Consider the following 16,070-nt stretch of genomic DNA (forward strand, 5'->3'; position numbering starts at 1 on the left):
AATATTCTAAGGCTGTTTGATGTAAGAATAATAGATTTAGACCAGGTTTATTATTAAATAAGCAATTATTCTTCTCACCAATGGTCTTGGCATTGAACAAAAGTACACACAGTTTCTAGGTATTCATTTTTTGTTGTGTTGTATTCATTACTCCTTCTCAGGGACAGTTTTTTTTTCTGACAGACACTAAACTAAAGAAAAAATATTGAGCAAAGTAACTCAAATTATGAAAAAACAGAGCTAATAGTCTATAATGAAAAATAGAATATTAATATGCAATTACCACAGAGTATGACAAGTTTTATAAAGAAATGCAGGTGATTGGAAGCACAGAATAGGTGTACTATAGCATAGAGTGATCAGAAAGAGTTTTTTGAAGTGATATTCAAGTGTTATCTTTATGTTGATTCAGAGTGATCCAGGTGAAAACTAGAAATGGGAGAGGTGGAGGTAGAAACGTTGTTCTGGGAGAGAAACATCTTTTTTGCTGACAAAGCATAGATTCTTTTTTACCAGATTAAAAAAAAAAGATAAAATTAAATGTGTCAATGGCAAGAGGTAAAGCTAAAGAGCTAGGCAGGAATGGCACCCCAAAATGTTACAGCAATTATTCCAGTGATGATGTTGAAAGAGAGACAATATTTGATTTGCAGTTTTGGAAGCTCCTTATTACTGCAGGGTGGAAAAGATATGGACTAAAGCAACAGTAAAGATAGAAAATCACATTCAAAGGTTGTGTGGTAATCTAGGTAGCCTGGTGATGATGTTAAGAGTTGAAATTCAAATAGTAATAACAGGATAAATCAACAGGACTTGTTGATTCATTGGAAATTGGGGAAAAAAAAGAAAACAGCAAGATGACTTGAAGCTCTCTTAATTGCAGAATGATTGCAATATAGTGCCATTGCTGTGTTAGTAAACAGTAAAATAAGTACAGATTTGGGAAGATCACAAGATAAGTCCTGGCCATGTTGAATTTGATGTGCCTGGGAAATATTAAAGTGAATATTTTCAATAGTCAGATGGTCCTAGATCTCAGAAGAGAAGTTTTGAATTAAAGATACAGGCCTGGAAATTCTCAATGATGTAACTGAAATTGAAATAGCTGAGATTGTTAAGTCTTGCGTAAAGAATGAAAAGAATATGGTATAGGACATTGTTCTTAGAAGTACTAGCATAGAATGAAGGGTTGAAACAGAGGGCCTTGGAAAAAGGTACTGGGACGGCCAAGGAAATAGGAAGAGAAATAGAAGACTGTGATGTTTAAAAATCAAGAGAAAATAAAGTTTTAGATGCATGAGTTGGCCATCAGAGTTAAATTATGTTGAGAGGTCCAATTAGATAAGATATGAAAAATGTCCACTGATTTATTTTGCAAGAACGTTTTTAGTCACCTTGGTGAAATAAGTTTCAGTGCATTTCTGTTGGCTCAATCCAGATTACACTGGATTAAGTCATGAATGGAAAATGGATATCTTATAAAAGAGAAAGCCATCTGAGAACCAGCCTAAATTCGGCCCATAAGGACCATCTGGGGAATAAGGCGACACCAACAGAGTCTGTGTGGAATGAGCCACAGAGCAACGGAACAGCTGGAAACCACCCCTGGGGAAACTGCATCAGCTGCCTGGAGTCTTGTGACCATCGTCACGTTGGTCCTTTGCCCTCTCCCATCTCCGGGCCTGCTGTCTGGAATGTAGATGTGGCCACATTGAACCACAAAGATGAGGACCACATTCAGCCTCTCTCAGACTTCAAAGAGCAGAATGTCAGAAAAGCCTTGAATCTCTGACCTCCAGACATTGTTTGTGCAACAGGTAGATAAAGTTCAATCTCGCTTAAGGTGTTATTTGGGGGGTTTCGTCACTCTGAACATAATTTAATTCTTTCTAAAAAGCCTGCTGCCTTAACGATGCTAGCTTCACTCCCGCAGGTAAGTTTGTGTGTTTGGTGACAGAAAGCTGAAGGAGCTTTCCTCCCATAGCCTCTATTGAATATTTAGAGCAGCAATAGTGGCTTTTTATCACAAAAGGAGAGCTCTTGAGGCTGTAGGAAGGGGTAGCTGGCAAGAGTGAAATAGTAACTGTGGAGAGTGTGGAGTGAACCAAGCAAGGGATTAATAGATTGATAATTATTACTTTGAAAATAATAGAGTTAATAGATTTATAATTATTGCTATGAAAATAATAGAGTTACAAGCAACACCAAGGGCCCATTTGAGACTACTAAGAATGAATGTTTCATGATATCAGTTTAATGGTAATGGTTTTGAATTTCTTTTTTTTTTTTCATTAAAGAAAACTGCAGAAAACATAAATGTCCAGATCAACAAATCAACACAGAGAACACCCATAGAACCAGTTCCCAGGTCAAGAAATAGAATATGATGAGACCCGCTGGGCCTCTGCCCACATGACACCCCTTTCACTTTTCCAATATTTATTTCTATTACCATAGTATAGCTCTACCTGGTTTTAAGACTTTATTGAATGGTACCATAGAGTATGTGCTCTTCTGCGTCTAACCTCCTGTGTTCAATACATTTATGAGATTTATCAATTTTGTTGTCTATAGCTATACTTGTTGATTTTCTTTGATGTCTGATATTTAATTATATGAATATGCCACAACTTATTAAGCTGTAGATAGACATTAGGGGTATTTACAGTTTTGACCTCTTAAAGGTAACTATGATGGATTATGCCAGGTAATTATTGTGATATTATTGCATAAGTTTCTTAGTGTAGAGATACACAAATTCCTATTGCATATATACCTAGGAATGGAATTAGAGTTCATAGTGTGAATACATCTTACACTTAGCAGACGTGTTAAAATGTGTTCCACAGTGCTAGTACTAATTTGGTGGTTTCCCACCACATTGCATGAGCCTTCCTATATTGCTTCACATATTCCTTCACAGATCAATACTTGAAATAATACTTGAAAATAACAATCTTCTAAATTTGGAGATTCTAATGGGAGCATACTATCTCACTGTGCTTTCATTTACATTTGAGTTGCTGCTAAAGAGATGAAATGTCTTCATGTATTTATTCAGTTTTTAGATATTCTTTTTTGTGAAGTGAGTGTAAAGTGTTTTGCTGATTTTAAAAAATAGTATGTCTTTTCTTATTGATCTGTGGAAATTTTTAATATATTCTGAATATGAGCTTTCCCATTCTACTCTACATCTGTCATTCTTAATTAATAGTATCTTTTGGTGAACAGAACTTAATTTTAATGGAGTTCAATTTGTCCATTTTTTCCTTTATGGGTGGTATTTTTAACCCCATTTAAGCAATACTTCCCTATACCAAAATCAAGAGTATTTACCTCTATATTATTGTCTAGGAACTTTAACGTTTTGGTGTTCTAACTTCGACCATATTAAACCTAGATTTTTTCTCAACAGAGTTTGAAGTTAGGAATCATATTTTCCTTTGTTTCCATGCAGCCATCCAAAAGACCGACCATCATTTATAGAAAATATCTTCCTTTGATTATTTACCTCAAATCTCACCTTTATCGTATATAAAAGTCCATATATACACATTCAGATGCCTAAATTCTCTCCTTTAATATCGTTTGTTCATTTCTCTAACCTCATGCTAATATGACAATGTCCTAACAATTCTTTATATTATCTTGATATCTAGTAGATCAAGCCTTCATAGCTGCTATAGTCTGAATATTTGTGTCCTCCACAAAATTCATATGTTACAGTCTAATCCCCAATGCAATGGCATTTGGAGGTGGGGCTTTTAGAAGATGATTGGGTTACGAAAGTGGACACCTCATGAATGGAATTGGTGTCCTTATAAAAGAAACCCCAGAGAGCTCTTTCACCATGGATATTCAGGTAAAGACACAGTGAGAAGACAATAATCTATAAACCAGGAAGTGCACCCTCACCATCTGCCAGTGCCTTCATCTTGGATTTCCCAGCCTCCAGAATTATGGGGAATAAATTTCTGTTATTTATAAGCCACCCAGCCTTATGGTATTCTGTTGTAGCAGCCCAGATTGACTACGGCAATTTCTCTTCTTTAAAAAAAAAAAATCTTTGCTATTCTTTATTCTCAAAAATTTCCAGAAGAAATGTAAAATTCCTTGTCAATCACCACAAATGACCTTTTGACATTTTTATTAGATTGCATAAATACATAAAGTCATGTGTCTTCCAGTCAATGAAGATGAAAATACCCTCATTTTATTTAGATATTCTTACATTTCTCTCAACACATTAATAGTTTTCTATACAGAAATCCTGCACTTTTTCATTAGATTTATTCACAGGTGTTTGATAATTTTATTCTCTTGTAAATTTTATCTTTTTAAACTATTTTAATAGTCAATCTTTGTTGCTAGGATATGGAAATACAATTGATATGATACATTGACCTTACATGCAAAAATTTTTTCTAAATTTACATATAAATTCTGACAATTTATCTTTAGATTTTGAATTTTCTACATATATAGTCATATCAACTGCAAATATTGTCAGTTTTATTTCAACTTTTTTGATTCTTACATATTTTATTCATTATTCTTGATTTAATGTGCTGTTAGCTAGTACCTCCAATACAATGTTGAATGGTTCTGAAGGTTGTGGGCATTTTTTCTAAGTCCGAAACTCAGAGGCACACATCAACATTTTGCTGTTAAATATGATATTTGATTTTGATATGTAATAGATGTCCTTCTTAATATTAAAACAGTTCTCATATTTTTGTGTTAAGAAATTTTTTAAATAATAATCACAAATTGATATTTAATTTTATTACATTTTCGTTAATTTCTTAAAGTGGTTCACTAAATGAGATCCAAGATTTACCATGCTAGCATTAGAAGTTGAAAGTGGTTCTAAGAGTTTGCTTGGCTCGGTAACTGAAACGTGGATTTAAAGATGGCTTACATTCAAGGAAGTTAAAATTATAAACTTCCATAGTATAATATGGAAAAAGATACCAAAGATTCAGGAAGATAGGAATGCTGTATGTATTTATTATGTGAAACACATTTACCTTCCCACTATTCCCTGGGAGGGCTCAGAAGACACCCTGTTCTCTAAGACATTACCAATTATCAGTGAAGCATCACTAGCTTCCATAAAGCCAGCTCTGTGGGGTCAGCCTTCTGTAGTGCAACATTGTAATGGGCTCCTTTTTTGATGGGGATGACTTCTTCATGGCAGCACTTAAACATTTAATTAAGCACAAAAGTGCAGTAATAAGCCAAATAATGCCATGGCCATCCAGGGATTTTAATCTGGTATGGATCTCTGCTTGTGGCCCATTAATCATGATGGACCTAGAAACTAAATATGTAACTACTGATACATAGTATTACCCAATATATACAACTGGGAAAAAACATAAAAGACTTTAGATCTGGTCAATAGAAACATGACTAGGCATGTGGTATCATCCAGAGAGTAGATTTCTATTAAGAACTGAGTGTGTGTTTGTGTATGTGTGAGAGAGAGAGGAGAGAGAGAGAGAGAGAGAGAGAATATTTACTGAAGAGGGAGAAGACATAGAGAAGTTTCTCTATGTCTCTAATCTTAGAAGAGAGAACTCTAGACTGAGCATGGTAGCTCAGGCCTGTAATCCCAGCACTTTGGGAGGCCAAGGCAGGTGGATCACCTGAGGTCGGGAGTTTGAGACCAACCTGGCCAGCATGGCGAAACCCCATCTCTACTAAAAGAAAAAAAAAATTAGTTGGTCACGGTGGCACATGCCTGTAGTCCCAGCTACTTGGGAGGCTGAGGCAGGAGAATCTCTTGAACCCAGGAGGCAGAGGTTGCGTTGAGCCAAAATCATGCCACTGCACTCCAGCCTGGACCACAGAGTGAGACATCTCAAAAAAAAATAAAAGAAGAAGAAGAGAGAACTCTAGGATGCAATGGAGAGAACTGGAGAAGGTCTGGACCAGTATGGAAAAGAGAGGGTCCCATAGAGTACAGAAGGCTGGTACATCTTGCTTGGAGAATGAGGGTATCTAGCACATGTGGTCCAGTCATGTTGTCTGGCTAAAAGACTGCAACGAAAAGAGTGCCAGCTACAGTTTTTCCTTTACTCTTACATTTACTCCCTTCTCTCCAGTTCTATCACACCCCTGAAATTCATTGTCACAGCACACCATTCCTGTGCATGTGCATGCATGCACACAACACACATATCCACCCCTCTCAGTATGGAGCAGCAAACACAATATTCACAATTAGTAACCAAGCCCTCTGAATATAACACAAATCCCAGGAAATTTTGAAGACTTGCTCTATCTTTTTATTTTCTCCTTCTTAAATTGCAGTGCAGTTTCCAAAGTATAGTTTCCTGTACCCATGTTTCCTTAAATCTAAAGTGTCTTTGCCCAATCTTAGCAATTACCAAGACTAATTGATGATTCAGCCCGGCCATTGGGGTTACTCCCACAGGACCTATAGGTCTCTCCAAAGAGAATGTAAGCCGACTCCTACTCCTGAATTTAGAACGCTCTGACGGGATAAAAAATTACTTTTATCCACCTCAAATAACCCCCAACTAAATTCTGACTGTTTATAAGACTCTTTTTTTTTTTTTTTTTTTTTTTTGAGACAGAGTATCGCTCTGTCACCCAGGCTGAAATGCAATGGCGCGATCTCGGCTCACTGCAGTCTCTGCCTCCTGGGTTCAAGAAATTCTCCTGCCTCAGCCTCCTGAGTAGCTGGGATTACAGGCACATGCCACCACGCCCAGCTAATTTTTGTACTTTTAGTAAAGACAGGGTTTCACCATGTTGGTCAGGCTGGTCTTGAACTCTTGACCTCATGATCTGCCCACCTCGGCGTCCCAAAGTGTTGGGATTACAGGTGCAAGCTACCACGCCCAGCCTAAAAGACTCTTAAATGATCTTTCATCTTGTACCTTGCCAGTTACCCAGTCATGATGCTTAACTTGATATCGGATCTAAGGTCTTCATATTACTCTTTAGCTAGGGTAGTCATATCATTTACCATCCAAAGGGCACAGCTTTTGACAGTATAATAAAAGTGTGTGCCAGTAATAATTACAATGGGACAACTGACATAAATCAGTACCATTCTAGTGGTGTCACATTTTTAACCAACCTAGGATTTCCATGATGGTCCCCTAATTCTCAGGATTCTAAGAGTCCAGGGACTACACAGAGCTCTGTGATGACTAGGATCCCTTTCCTAAGTCACTGAGCCCTTCCTACTGTGACCCGAATAACTCCAATCAAGTTTATTATCATAAAGAATCACTCCATCGCCATTTAATAACATACCTGGCTCAGTTTACTTTAGGATGGGTGGAAGCTCCATACATACTGGAGTCATACCAAAACGATTTTCCGAAAATAACTCTGCTAGAACACTGCTAAATCAAATATAGAACTCCAGACTCTTGCCCTGCCCCTCTTCTCACACATATCTCATAAATATAGTCTCAAGGCCCTAGTGTATTTTTTATGTAGTCTTGTTTTGAACTAATTTCAGTTTTTCTTTCAAATATTAGTTCTTAATTCCTCAATATCCACAGAGTATACTTACCACAGTTTGCCTCAGGAGAAGCTCAGAATATTCCCATGCATTCTCCTAAAAATACCTCTATAAGATTTAATGAGACTTCCCTTTTCATTCCATCTGAATTTTACAAAGCCTCAGGTTCATGCGTCAAAGATAGGGATAAATGACAATAAAAATCAGTTAGCTTTTATTGAACACTACTGTATACCTGACACTGTGATTAAGCATTTGCATGCATTATCTCAATGGATCTGCACAAAATATGAAAAAGGAACTATTATTTACAGGGAAAGTGGGTGAGGTCTAGGAAGGGTAAGCCACTTGCTTAAGAACATATAGACAATAAATACTGAGAGGAAATTTGACCCCAGGTTGGTAGAACTCAGAAACCACTTTTTTTTTAGAGATGGAGTCTCACTCTGTCACTGGGCTGGAGTGCAATGGCATGCTCTCAGCTCACTGCAACCTCAGCCTCCCGAATTCAAGCGATTCTCCTGCCTCAGCCTCCTGAGTAGCTGGGATTACAAGCATGTGCCACAACACCTGGCTAATTTTTGTATTTTTAGTAAAGACGGGGTTTCTGCATGTTGGAAGACTGGTCTTGAACTCCTGACCTCGTGATCTGCCTGCCTTGGCCTCCCAAAGTGCTGAGATTACAGGCGTGAGCCACCGCACCTGACCCAGAAACCACTTTTAACTGAGAATGTGTATACTTAAAAAATGTAAGGCTAGCTAAATGTTTATAACTTGTTTTGTTTCTTGAAAGATTTTCAAAAGCATTGTTTTAAGTCATTATTTACATTCATTCAAACTGTAAATAGAGGTATAGAACCATAGACAAACTTAGAAATTTTAGACTTTATCAAAAATTGCTGCTTTTCTCATAGTTTTGTTTTCTTTCTCTAAATAATTATCTGCCGCACAAAAATAGATACGGAAGGTGGTTACTTGGTTATTCACGCTAAAAATCCATAACAGAATTTTTAATGAGAAACACATATATTGAAATTATTAAATATCACAAATCCTGAGCTTTAACCGCAGCATAATTCTGAAGAAGGAAGGAACATTCCTGAGACAGTAGATTCAGCCACAACATCCTCAGCTTTTCTTACCTGGTGGCCTCTAGTTGAAGATTTTTTTCACAAAGGGATGGACACATAATATTGATGCTAACTGTGTTGCTAATGAAGAAATTGAGAGGCACAGCTTAGTTTTGATCATGAGCCCATTTTAATTTCTCATAAGAGAAAAAAATGAATGTAAGTAGCCATGAGTTTTGTAGAGGGCATCTAAGCTGATTGTGATATTGAGGCTTCCCTTTGCCTTTCCTGGATGTTGCCTCTAGGCCAGATATTACGATTTAAAATGACATAACATGACCTCATGAAAAATTTGAGGTCTAACTTCGTGAACTCCAATTACAAAGTTACATAGATTTCCACAGAATGAAAGCCAGATGTAAGTAATTTACATTTTAGTCATGTAAAAAAGGAAGAGATAAAAGGAGAAATGCCATCTGGAAGATTAAAATCAACAGTAGCCATGTAATGGGCAGTTAGTGTCCACATAGGTCACCTGCCTCTTTAAAATGTTTGACACTTCCAGTGGCCAGCAGTTATTCTCTCTCTACCAATTGTTTACTTTATAAAACACAAGCTCTGAGAAAACAACAAGTCGTGTTGAGATGTGGGGACTATCTAGGATTCTGGAATCTTAAAAGACTTGTTTATCAGTGTCTAGAAAAGAGTTTGGGTGCAATTGATTTTGTTTTATGTGGTATTTTTCTTAGTAAAAAACAACTTTTATTGGCTTACCTCAAGACACTTAATGTTTTACCCTACCTTTAAAGCAATTTAGATCTTAGGATGCTGAAGAAATAAAGTATTGATTTGCTTCTGTGACACAAGTGACTAGTCATGGCAGGTTCCTTATATGTAGAATGAGTGGTTTGTATTAATTGCTTATTAAACTCTATTCCAATTCTGAAATTCACACATGCTATGAAGACATTGTACACATATGGAAAGAGGTATTATTCATGTTGCTTCTTCCATCATTATCACATGACAGACTCGCCTGTGTCTTTGAAATTGCAACAGGGAGAGACTGGTACATTCAGCAGGCCAAAGCATTGACTGGTATAATTAAGTGGAAAGCAAATGTGAAAAGCTCATCTTTGGTTAGTATGAGTTAGCAGCTTTCTCCTGCACTCTTATTTTCTTCAAATGAAATAGAATTTCTTTGTGGATATTTTTTATATTGCTTCAACATTTAAAGACTCTGTACTATTTCCTTTTATTTCCTGAAGTGAGAAAAGAATTTAATCCAGGAATGAGATTGTGAGTGAAAATGTTTCTCAGTACCCTGATATATTCTCTCTTATGCAGTTTTGATCATCTCCAAAGAAAGTGTTCAAGAACACAGTAGGATGCACATCGAAGGGCATGGACAGGAACAGCTCATCTAACCCAGTGAGGACTGTCTTCCAATTCTTTAGATGGCTATTTTAAAAGTTATTTCTAAAGGAAATATCTAATTTTGTATCTTCCAGTTACTTATGAAAAACTTTTAAAGTTTACATTGGCTCTTAAGCCTCAACTTATGACAAATTTTGAAAGTGTGATATGGAAAGCCATTCTATCATGAGCCTATGGGAGTGAAATACAGTGATCTCCCTCAACTTCAAGATGGAAAAATGTCTCCAAATCCTTAGGAGAAAAGGACAGAGCCACAAAATATAAAGACCCTCCCCCTTGCCAGTTCAGCTCTTAGGTGGATCAATTGCTCTCAAAGTTTATGTAGAAGCCTACAGACATCACAAAGAAACAGTGTTTGAAAGAGTAAGTTAAATAAGTTTGAATATGTAAAAAAATGAACAAATATAATCTAAATAAGATGCCAAAGGAACACAATGGAATGATCTCCAACAGATTTTATTACGCCCGAGGAAAGAGCATGTTCAGATAAACATTCCTATTTTAGGTTTTGGGGGAAATGTCTGAATTTTTAAGAAGCAAAATAATGACCAAAAGCTCATTAAGAGGGCAACAAAGCAATCAAAAAGTGAGATGGTAGAATTTGATTTTTGGAGCACTATCAATAGGTATTTTTTAAGAAGAGATTTGCAGTTATTTTTATAGGATAAGGCATCAGCAATCATTTTGGCAAAGGAGAAATGGGCAGGAAATATTTCTCTTATATCTGGATGCAGACAAATTGTCTTTCTTGATAATTTACTTCCAATCTTGTAGGAGAGTACAGTGCTTTACAAGAACTTGTATAAAGAATTGGACCTAGTCTCAGAACTGTGATCATGTGATATACTGAATATATTTACTTCTTAATTAAATTTTCTCATTTCAAACTGTTAACACAGAGACAGTTTGTCATTAACAAGGCAAATGACCTATAGAAGATAATGCATACATGTTTATTAGCACTATTTACAGTCCTTGAGATGATATAACACATATTTAAGAAAAAACTTTGGTCTACATTGGTAAAACTAAAATACCCATCAGGCACTTTTCATAAGGAGAACAAAAGACTTTTCCAATTTCATCTTTCTCCTTTTTTTTTTCCTTCCCTCCTTTCTTCTTTGTTTCCTTCATAGCTTAAACGCTTATAACTTTATTTTAAAGTAATTCAATGGCTTATTTGTACTATAAAAGCTTTCTCACACTTTATTTTTCACACTCTTAAGCTTATTTTTATTGTACTTTTATTGTTACAGTGATCAAGTACTTCTTTTAAATAGTTGAAATGCTTTGCTAAATTAATTTAGAACTCCTCTTACTTAAAATAAATGCCCTTTATATTGAGAACTGTTTTAACAGCAGATAACCTTGAAGTCAGGTCATTTCCATGACATATTATACCCATGTTTATGCTAAAGGTTGAAATAAAGCCAAAATCATGTTAGCACATTGAAAACATCCTGTTAGGCTTAACATTTAAAGCATATGCAAGGTTTTGTTGTTTACTTTCCACGTAATGCTTAGTATGGTTCAGGTGTATTAACTTGGATTATGTTTCTATGTTCTGAACTCATTGTCCATGAATGTTTGAACATAAAGTGATTTCCTTTCTTAGAACGATAAACTTCAAAATCCTTTGCTAAATACAAGGAGGATACAGAGTCTGGTTGGCCTAAACATGAACAGATATAAAATATCTCCCATGATTGTCTCCAAATCCCATATTCTGCCCCTACTCACAGTAAAAAATAAATATACTTTCAGAAAATAAATAATATTGTGATGACGTTATTGTGTCTTTAGTTTTCTGAGCTTTAAGTTATTGCTGCATTCAGCAATAGAAGATAAGTGATTTAAAATGCAACCGCTATGTTAAGGTTAATTTTTTTTCTGGCTAGTAAAGGCATTAGCCAACTACAAATTCTTTATCTGTAAAATGAAAATACATACCCTACATTGGCTTCCTGATAGCATTATTAAGACTAATTCATATTTCAAACTAATACTGAAAATTTGTGGCATAGTTGCATAGAAATAATAATGGGAATAAAAAATGTGTGCTCTTCTTAGATGGCAAATGCTATTAATTTTGTTAAAAAAAATTTAAATCCACTAATAGTTGGATTGCATAAGGTCAGATAGAGTCTTTAACATAATATACATTGTTGTTTCAGTTCTTAATTAAAAATAGAATGTACATCTCAAATCTTCACCAAGGCAGATAAGTAGATTTGTTCCACATTCTGAAACTTATTGTGATTTTTTGTGTCTAAAATAAGATTCCTTATTCACTTAGTCCCAGGGAACATTACATAAGTATTGTGCTATGCAAAAGAAAAGCAAATAAACAAAACAAAATCACGTAATGAAGACCTTAACGGTATTTAAAACCCCTCCCCCCTCCAAAATACATGGAAGATGAAGGAAAAGAAGGCAGGAGGTATGTAATTTTTTAAAAAGTAAACATAGTATGGTGGGCTTTTCTTTCCAGAAAATTCCCTCAATGCGTGACTTTTTGTACTTTTTCTCTTCTCCGTCTGCCAGCTGGAGCGATATGGCTCCTGCATGAGCTGCTTGTACTGAAAGCTGTTCAGCAAGAAATTCGTGTGAAATCGTAGCATGTGATGCTCCTGGTTGGAGCAGTTAATAACTGGGTAAGCGGCATTTCCCTAAATGGCTGTTTTCCTCGGCCCACCCGTCTCTCCCCCATCCCATTGCTCCCCGGTCCTCAGCAATGCCCCAACTCCCTCCCGGAACCTTTTGCTCCGAGCCCCCCGCCAGCGCCGCAATCCCGTCACTGTATTGTCCTCCTCGGCACCGAGCGATCTGATCCGCCGAGCCAGAAAGACACCCGATGGGGGAGAGAAGCAAAGTGGAAAAAAACCGACGTCCCTGCTCTCCAGAAGGGAGACCCCAGCGGCGCCGACGAGCCCTGCGCCCTCCGCGGCCGCCCGGCGCGAGCTCCCGGGCGGGGCGCTGTCCAGCGCGCACAGAGTTAAAGGCATCATCGCAGCCATTAGAGGGAAAAGTTGCGGCGCCGCGAGCCCGGCGAAGTCCTCAGCCCGCCCCGCTTGCCCACTCCCCACTTCCCGAGCCGGCTCCGTGTTTAGGGAGGGCAGTGATCACGCAAGCCGGAGCGGCGGGCTGACGTTGGACGAGCTGCCAGGTAGCTGAAAGCAGGCAGCCAGGCAGCCGAGACACTTCCCAGCGATTCCAGCCTGGGCTCCGCAGGAAGCCTCGCTGAATCCCAGCCAGCTGGTTCTAACCTTCCAGAATCGCAATCCCTTCTCCCCACAGCCAGCCCTCGCCAAGCAAGCAGCAGGATGTTTGCAGTGTCGCGCCCAGGGCTCTGAGACTGAGCCTGCCATCCACTCGCACGCCTTTCTTTCAGGGCTTTTCGGCTGTTGGCTACACTGATGTGACCCCCCTCCCTTTTTGGAATGATGGGGATCTTTTTGGTGTATGTTGGATTTGTTTTCTTTTCCGTTTTATATGTACAACAAGGGCTTTCTTCTCAAGGTAAGTCTTGCTCAATGGCAAATATACATTTGCTTGCGTGTGTGTGTGTTTCCTACACTCAAAAAGAATGGACAGGCAGATAGAATAAGCTTCCTAGCAAGTAACAGTGGGCTTAGGCTGTATAAATAGTGTTCTGTTTGACGATTTTTTTTAAAGTTTATTAAACTGTAGACTAGCTAGGCTGGAGAGAAAATCTAGCTGGTGCCTGACAATGAGGTGGGCTCCTCGGTGAGCACAAACACAGGGTCGTGTGGTGTGTGTGTGTGGGTGTGTGTGTGCTTTCTATCTGTGTGCATGCACAGGGTAGCCACTCATGCATACATAATCATCGCAAACAAACACAGGGCTGGATACTGGGACTCTCCATTGCCAGTCCCTCTTCCTTGTGTAGTCAGACTGGGCTTAGAGTTTCCCTTTTGTAGGTCCGTGTGACTCCTTTTGTATGTGTGTTTATCAAAGGACAGACTCCTCTGAGGACCCATAAAAAGCCACAACTTGCATGACAAGCAGCAGCAGCCTGCTGAACCCGATTGTTCAGGACTTCGTAGGCTGCAGTGGTCGTTTCAGCACCATGAACAGATCACATCTCTGGTGCCAAAAGACTGCATCACTTCTGCAAGCAGAAATGCCATACTCCTTCTGCCAGCTAGAATAGAAAAGCCCTTTTCCGATCAGAATGTCTCCTTAATAGCTTCCCTGTTTTAGGTACAAATATAGTTTCATTTCACTAGAGATCATTTTTGGGATTTCATAAAATGTTGAAAAGAGACAGTGTCTCTCTTTAAACCGGGGGTGAGGTGAGGGGTGGGGGGAGGAGTGCATCCACCCCAAATCATTTCTGCATTCCCCATGGCCCTCTTCTCCATAAGTGTGCATTGTGGTTGTGCATTTCCACTGGCCATACAAATCTTCCCAGGACTGCTTTTAGGGAACCATCAGCTCTTTGCAAAGTGCCCCTTAGATAAGATAAGAACAACCACGTTGGTAACAAGATAAGAGCATTGCATGTTCAAGAAATGCCTTTAGGAGGAAGGAAACATTATATTTTTGTGAGTTTCACCAGGGTTGCATGAATCTTGCAAACTAGCAGTGTCAAGGTTGGTAATGAAAAGGCTGAGAAACATCTCCATAGTGACTTCTAAATAATATTTAATCTGAACTAAGCCTGGATGTGTGATCATTACATCTTAAGATGTATGGCAATTCAAAATACAGTGACTTGATGGGAACAAATAAAGGTTAATTTGGAGAGAAGGAAACATATACAGTTTATAAAGTGTGCAACTTGTTTCACTGCTGCAGGCGTGTTTCACTGGTGTTGCTAATAACCGTTTTGATGTATCAGGAATGTGCATTTTGACAGATAATCATGATCTACTCTGTTACATGAAACATCCAGTTAGTGGTAGATTGTTTAGAAACTTAGAGGCAAGAGACTCTCCTCATTTATCAACTTGACAGATTGCCTAAATTGTATCTCACTGACTCTCTCAGTAAATGTTGTGGAATACTGCAATCTGACAAAAGGTATTTGGATCTACCTGCGGGGATCTTGGCTAAGAGTTATTGGCAAGCTTGTTAACCTTTCCATTATCTGGATTTGATCAACAACATAGTGATTTAGGTATGATACCAAAAGTTAGACAGGAAAGAGGCAAAGGAAGGGGGCTGGGGGAACCAGACGAAGCCGAGGATGTAAGAGAGGGGTTTTGTTGCTATTTAAGTCCAGGAAAAATGTAGCGAGCTCTCAAGGAAAGAGACTCAGGCAAGAGGGGTGTGGATATTCCAACAGGATGCCTTTCTGTTTTGCAGCAAAATTTACCGAGTTTCCGCGGAACGTGACGGCGACCGAGGGGCAGAATGTGGAGATGTCCTGCGCCTTCCAGAGCGGCTCCGCCTCGGTGTATCTGGAGATCCAATGGTGGTTCCTGCGGGGGCCGGAGGACCTGGATCCCGGGGCCGAGGGGGCCGGCGCGCAGGTAGCGGAGCCCGCCGACCCCGCGTCTCCCCTTCGCTCGCCCGGTCCTCAGGGTGTCCGGCCCGGGGCTGGGGGCCGAGGTGCTGCCTGGACACCCCTGGGGACCTGCCCGGTTCTGTGGAAGCGAGTGACCCCCAGGGCTTCTAGGGAGGGAAAGGGAATTTGTCCTGGGGACGCGAAGTTAAAACCCAGAAGGAAGTCCTGCTGCCCAGTTTCTTCCTGTTAAACCGGGAAGCGCCTCCTCCTGTAAGTTCTGGTACTTAGGCAGATGCCCGCCTTGCCCCTACCACGCTGCCACATCCCGGGACATCCGGGAGCCCCTTTCCAGGACGAAAGGAGGGGGAGGGGAATCGGTGGGCGGCCTCCACCCCCCACCCCACCCCCTCTCCCTTCTCGGGGCACCAGGCACCATCTGGGACCGCAGCCCCCAGGCTGAACAACCAGAGAACCAGGGCGGCCAGCTCCTCTCACCTCCACTTCTAACAGATATGTGGGGTGTCGGGGAGAGAGGGAGAGAGAAGGAAAGGGGGGAAATGGAGGAGGGAGAGAAGGAGAGAAG

The 16,070-nt window shown here is 39.3% G+C and overlaps 1 protein-coding gene across 6 annotated transcripts in view, besides 2 other annotated features; it reads left to right on the top strand.

Moving 5' to 3' along the window:
- Positions 12,737-13,237: an enhancer, noted in NCBI's record as "H3K4me1 hESC enhancer chr7:54609706-54610206 (GRCh37/hg19 assembly coordinates)". NCBI's record gives its function as "activates a minimal SCP1, AML or CMV promoter by ChIP-STARR-seq in naive H9 embryonic stem cells {active_cell/tissue: H9 hESC(naive)}" and the evidence as "EXISTENCE:reporter gene assay evidence [ECO:0000049][PMID:30033119]".
- Positions 13,099-16,070, top strand: part of VSTM2A (V-set and transmembrane domain containing 2A) — a 28,693-nt gene continuing 25,721 nt past the window's right edge. For all 6 annotated transcript variants that reach the window (XM_006715665.4, XM_006715666.4, NM_182546.4 and 3 more), the window contains exons 1-2: positions 13,099-13,533; positions 15,346-15,512. In XM_006715665.4, coding sequence (XP_006715728.1) covers positions 13,455-13,533; positions 15,346-15,512 — 246 coding nt within the window. In that variant the 5' untranslated portion in view covers positions 13,099-13,454. The remainder of the gene's footprint in view (positions 13,534-15,345; positions 15,513-16,070) is intronic.
- Positions 15,531-16,043: an enhancer, noted in NCBI's record as "H3K4me1 hESC enhancer chr7:54612500-54613012 (GRCh37/hg19 assembly coordinates)". NCBI's record gives its function as "activates a minimal SCP1, AML or CMV promoter by ChIP-STARR-seq in naive H9 embryonic stem cells {active_cell/tissue: H9 hESC(naive)}" and the evidence as "EXISTENCE:reporter gene assay evidence [ECO:0000049][PMID:30033119]".

The sequence above is a fragment of the Homo sapiens genome, chromosome 7 (assembly GCF_000001405.40).
Source record: "Homo sapiens chromosome 7, GRCh38.p14 Primary Assembly".
NCBI lineage: Eukaryota > Metazoa > Chordata > Mammalia > Primates > Hominidae > Homo > Homo sapiens.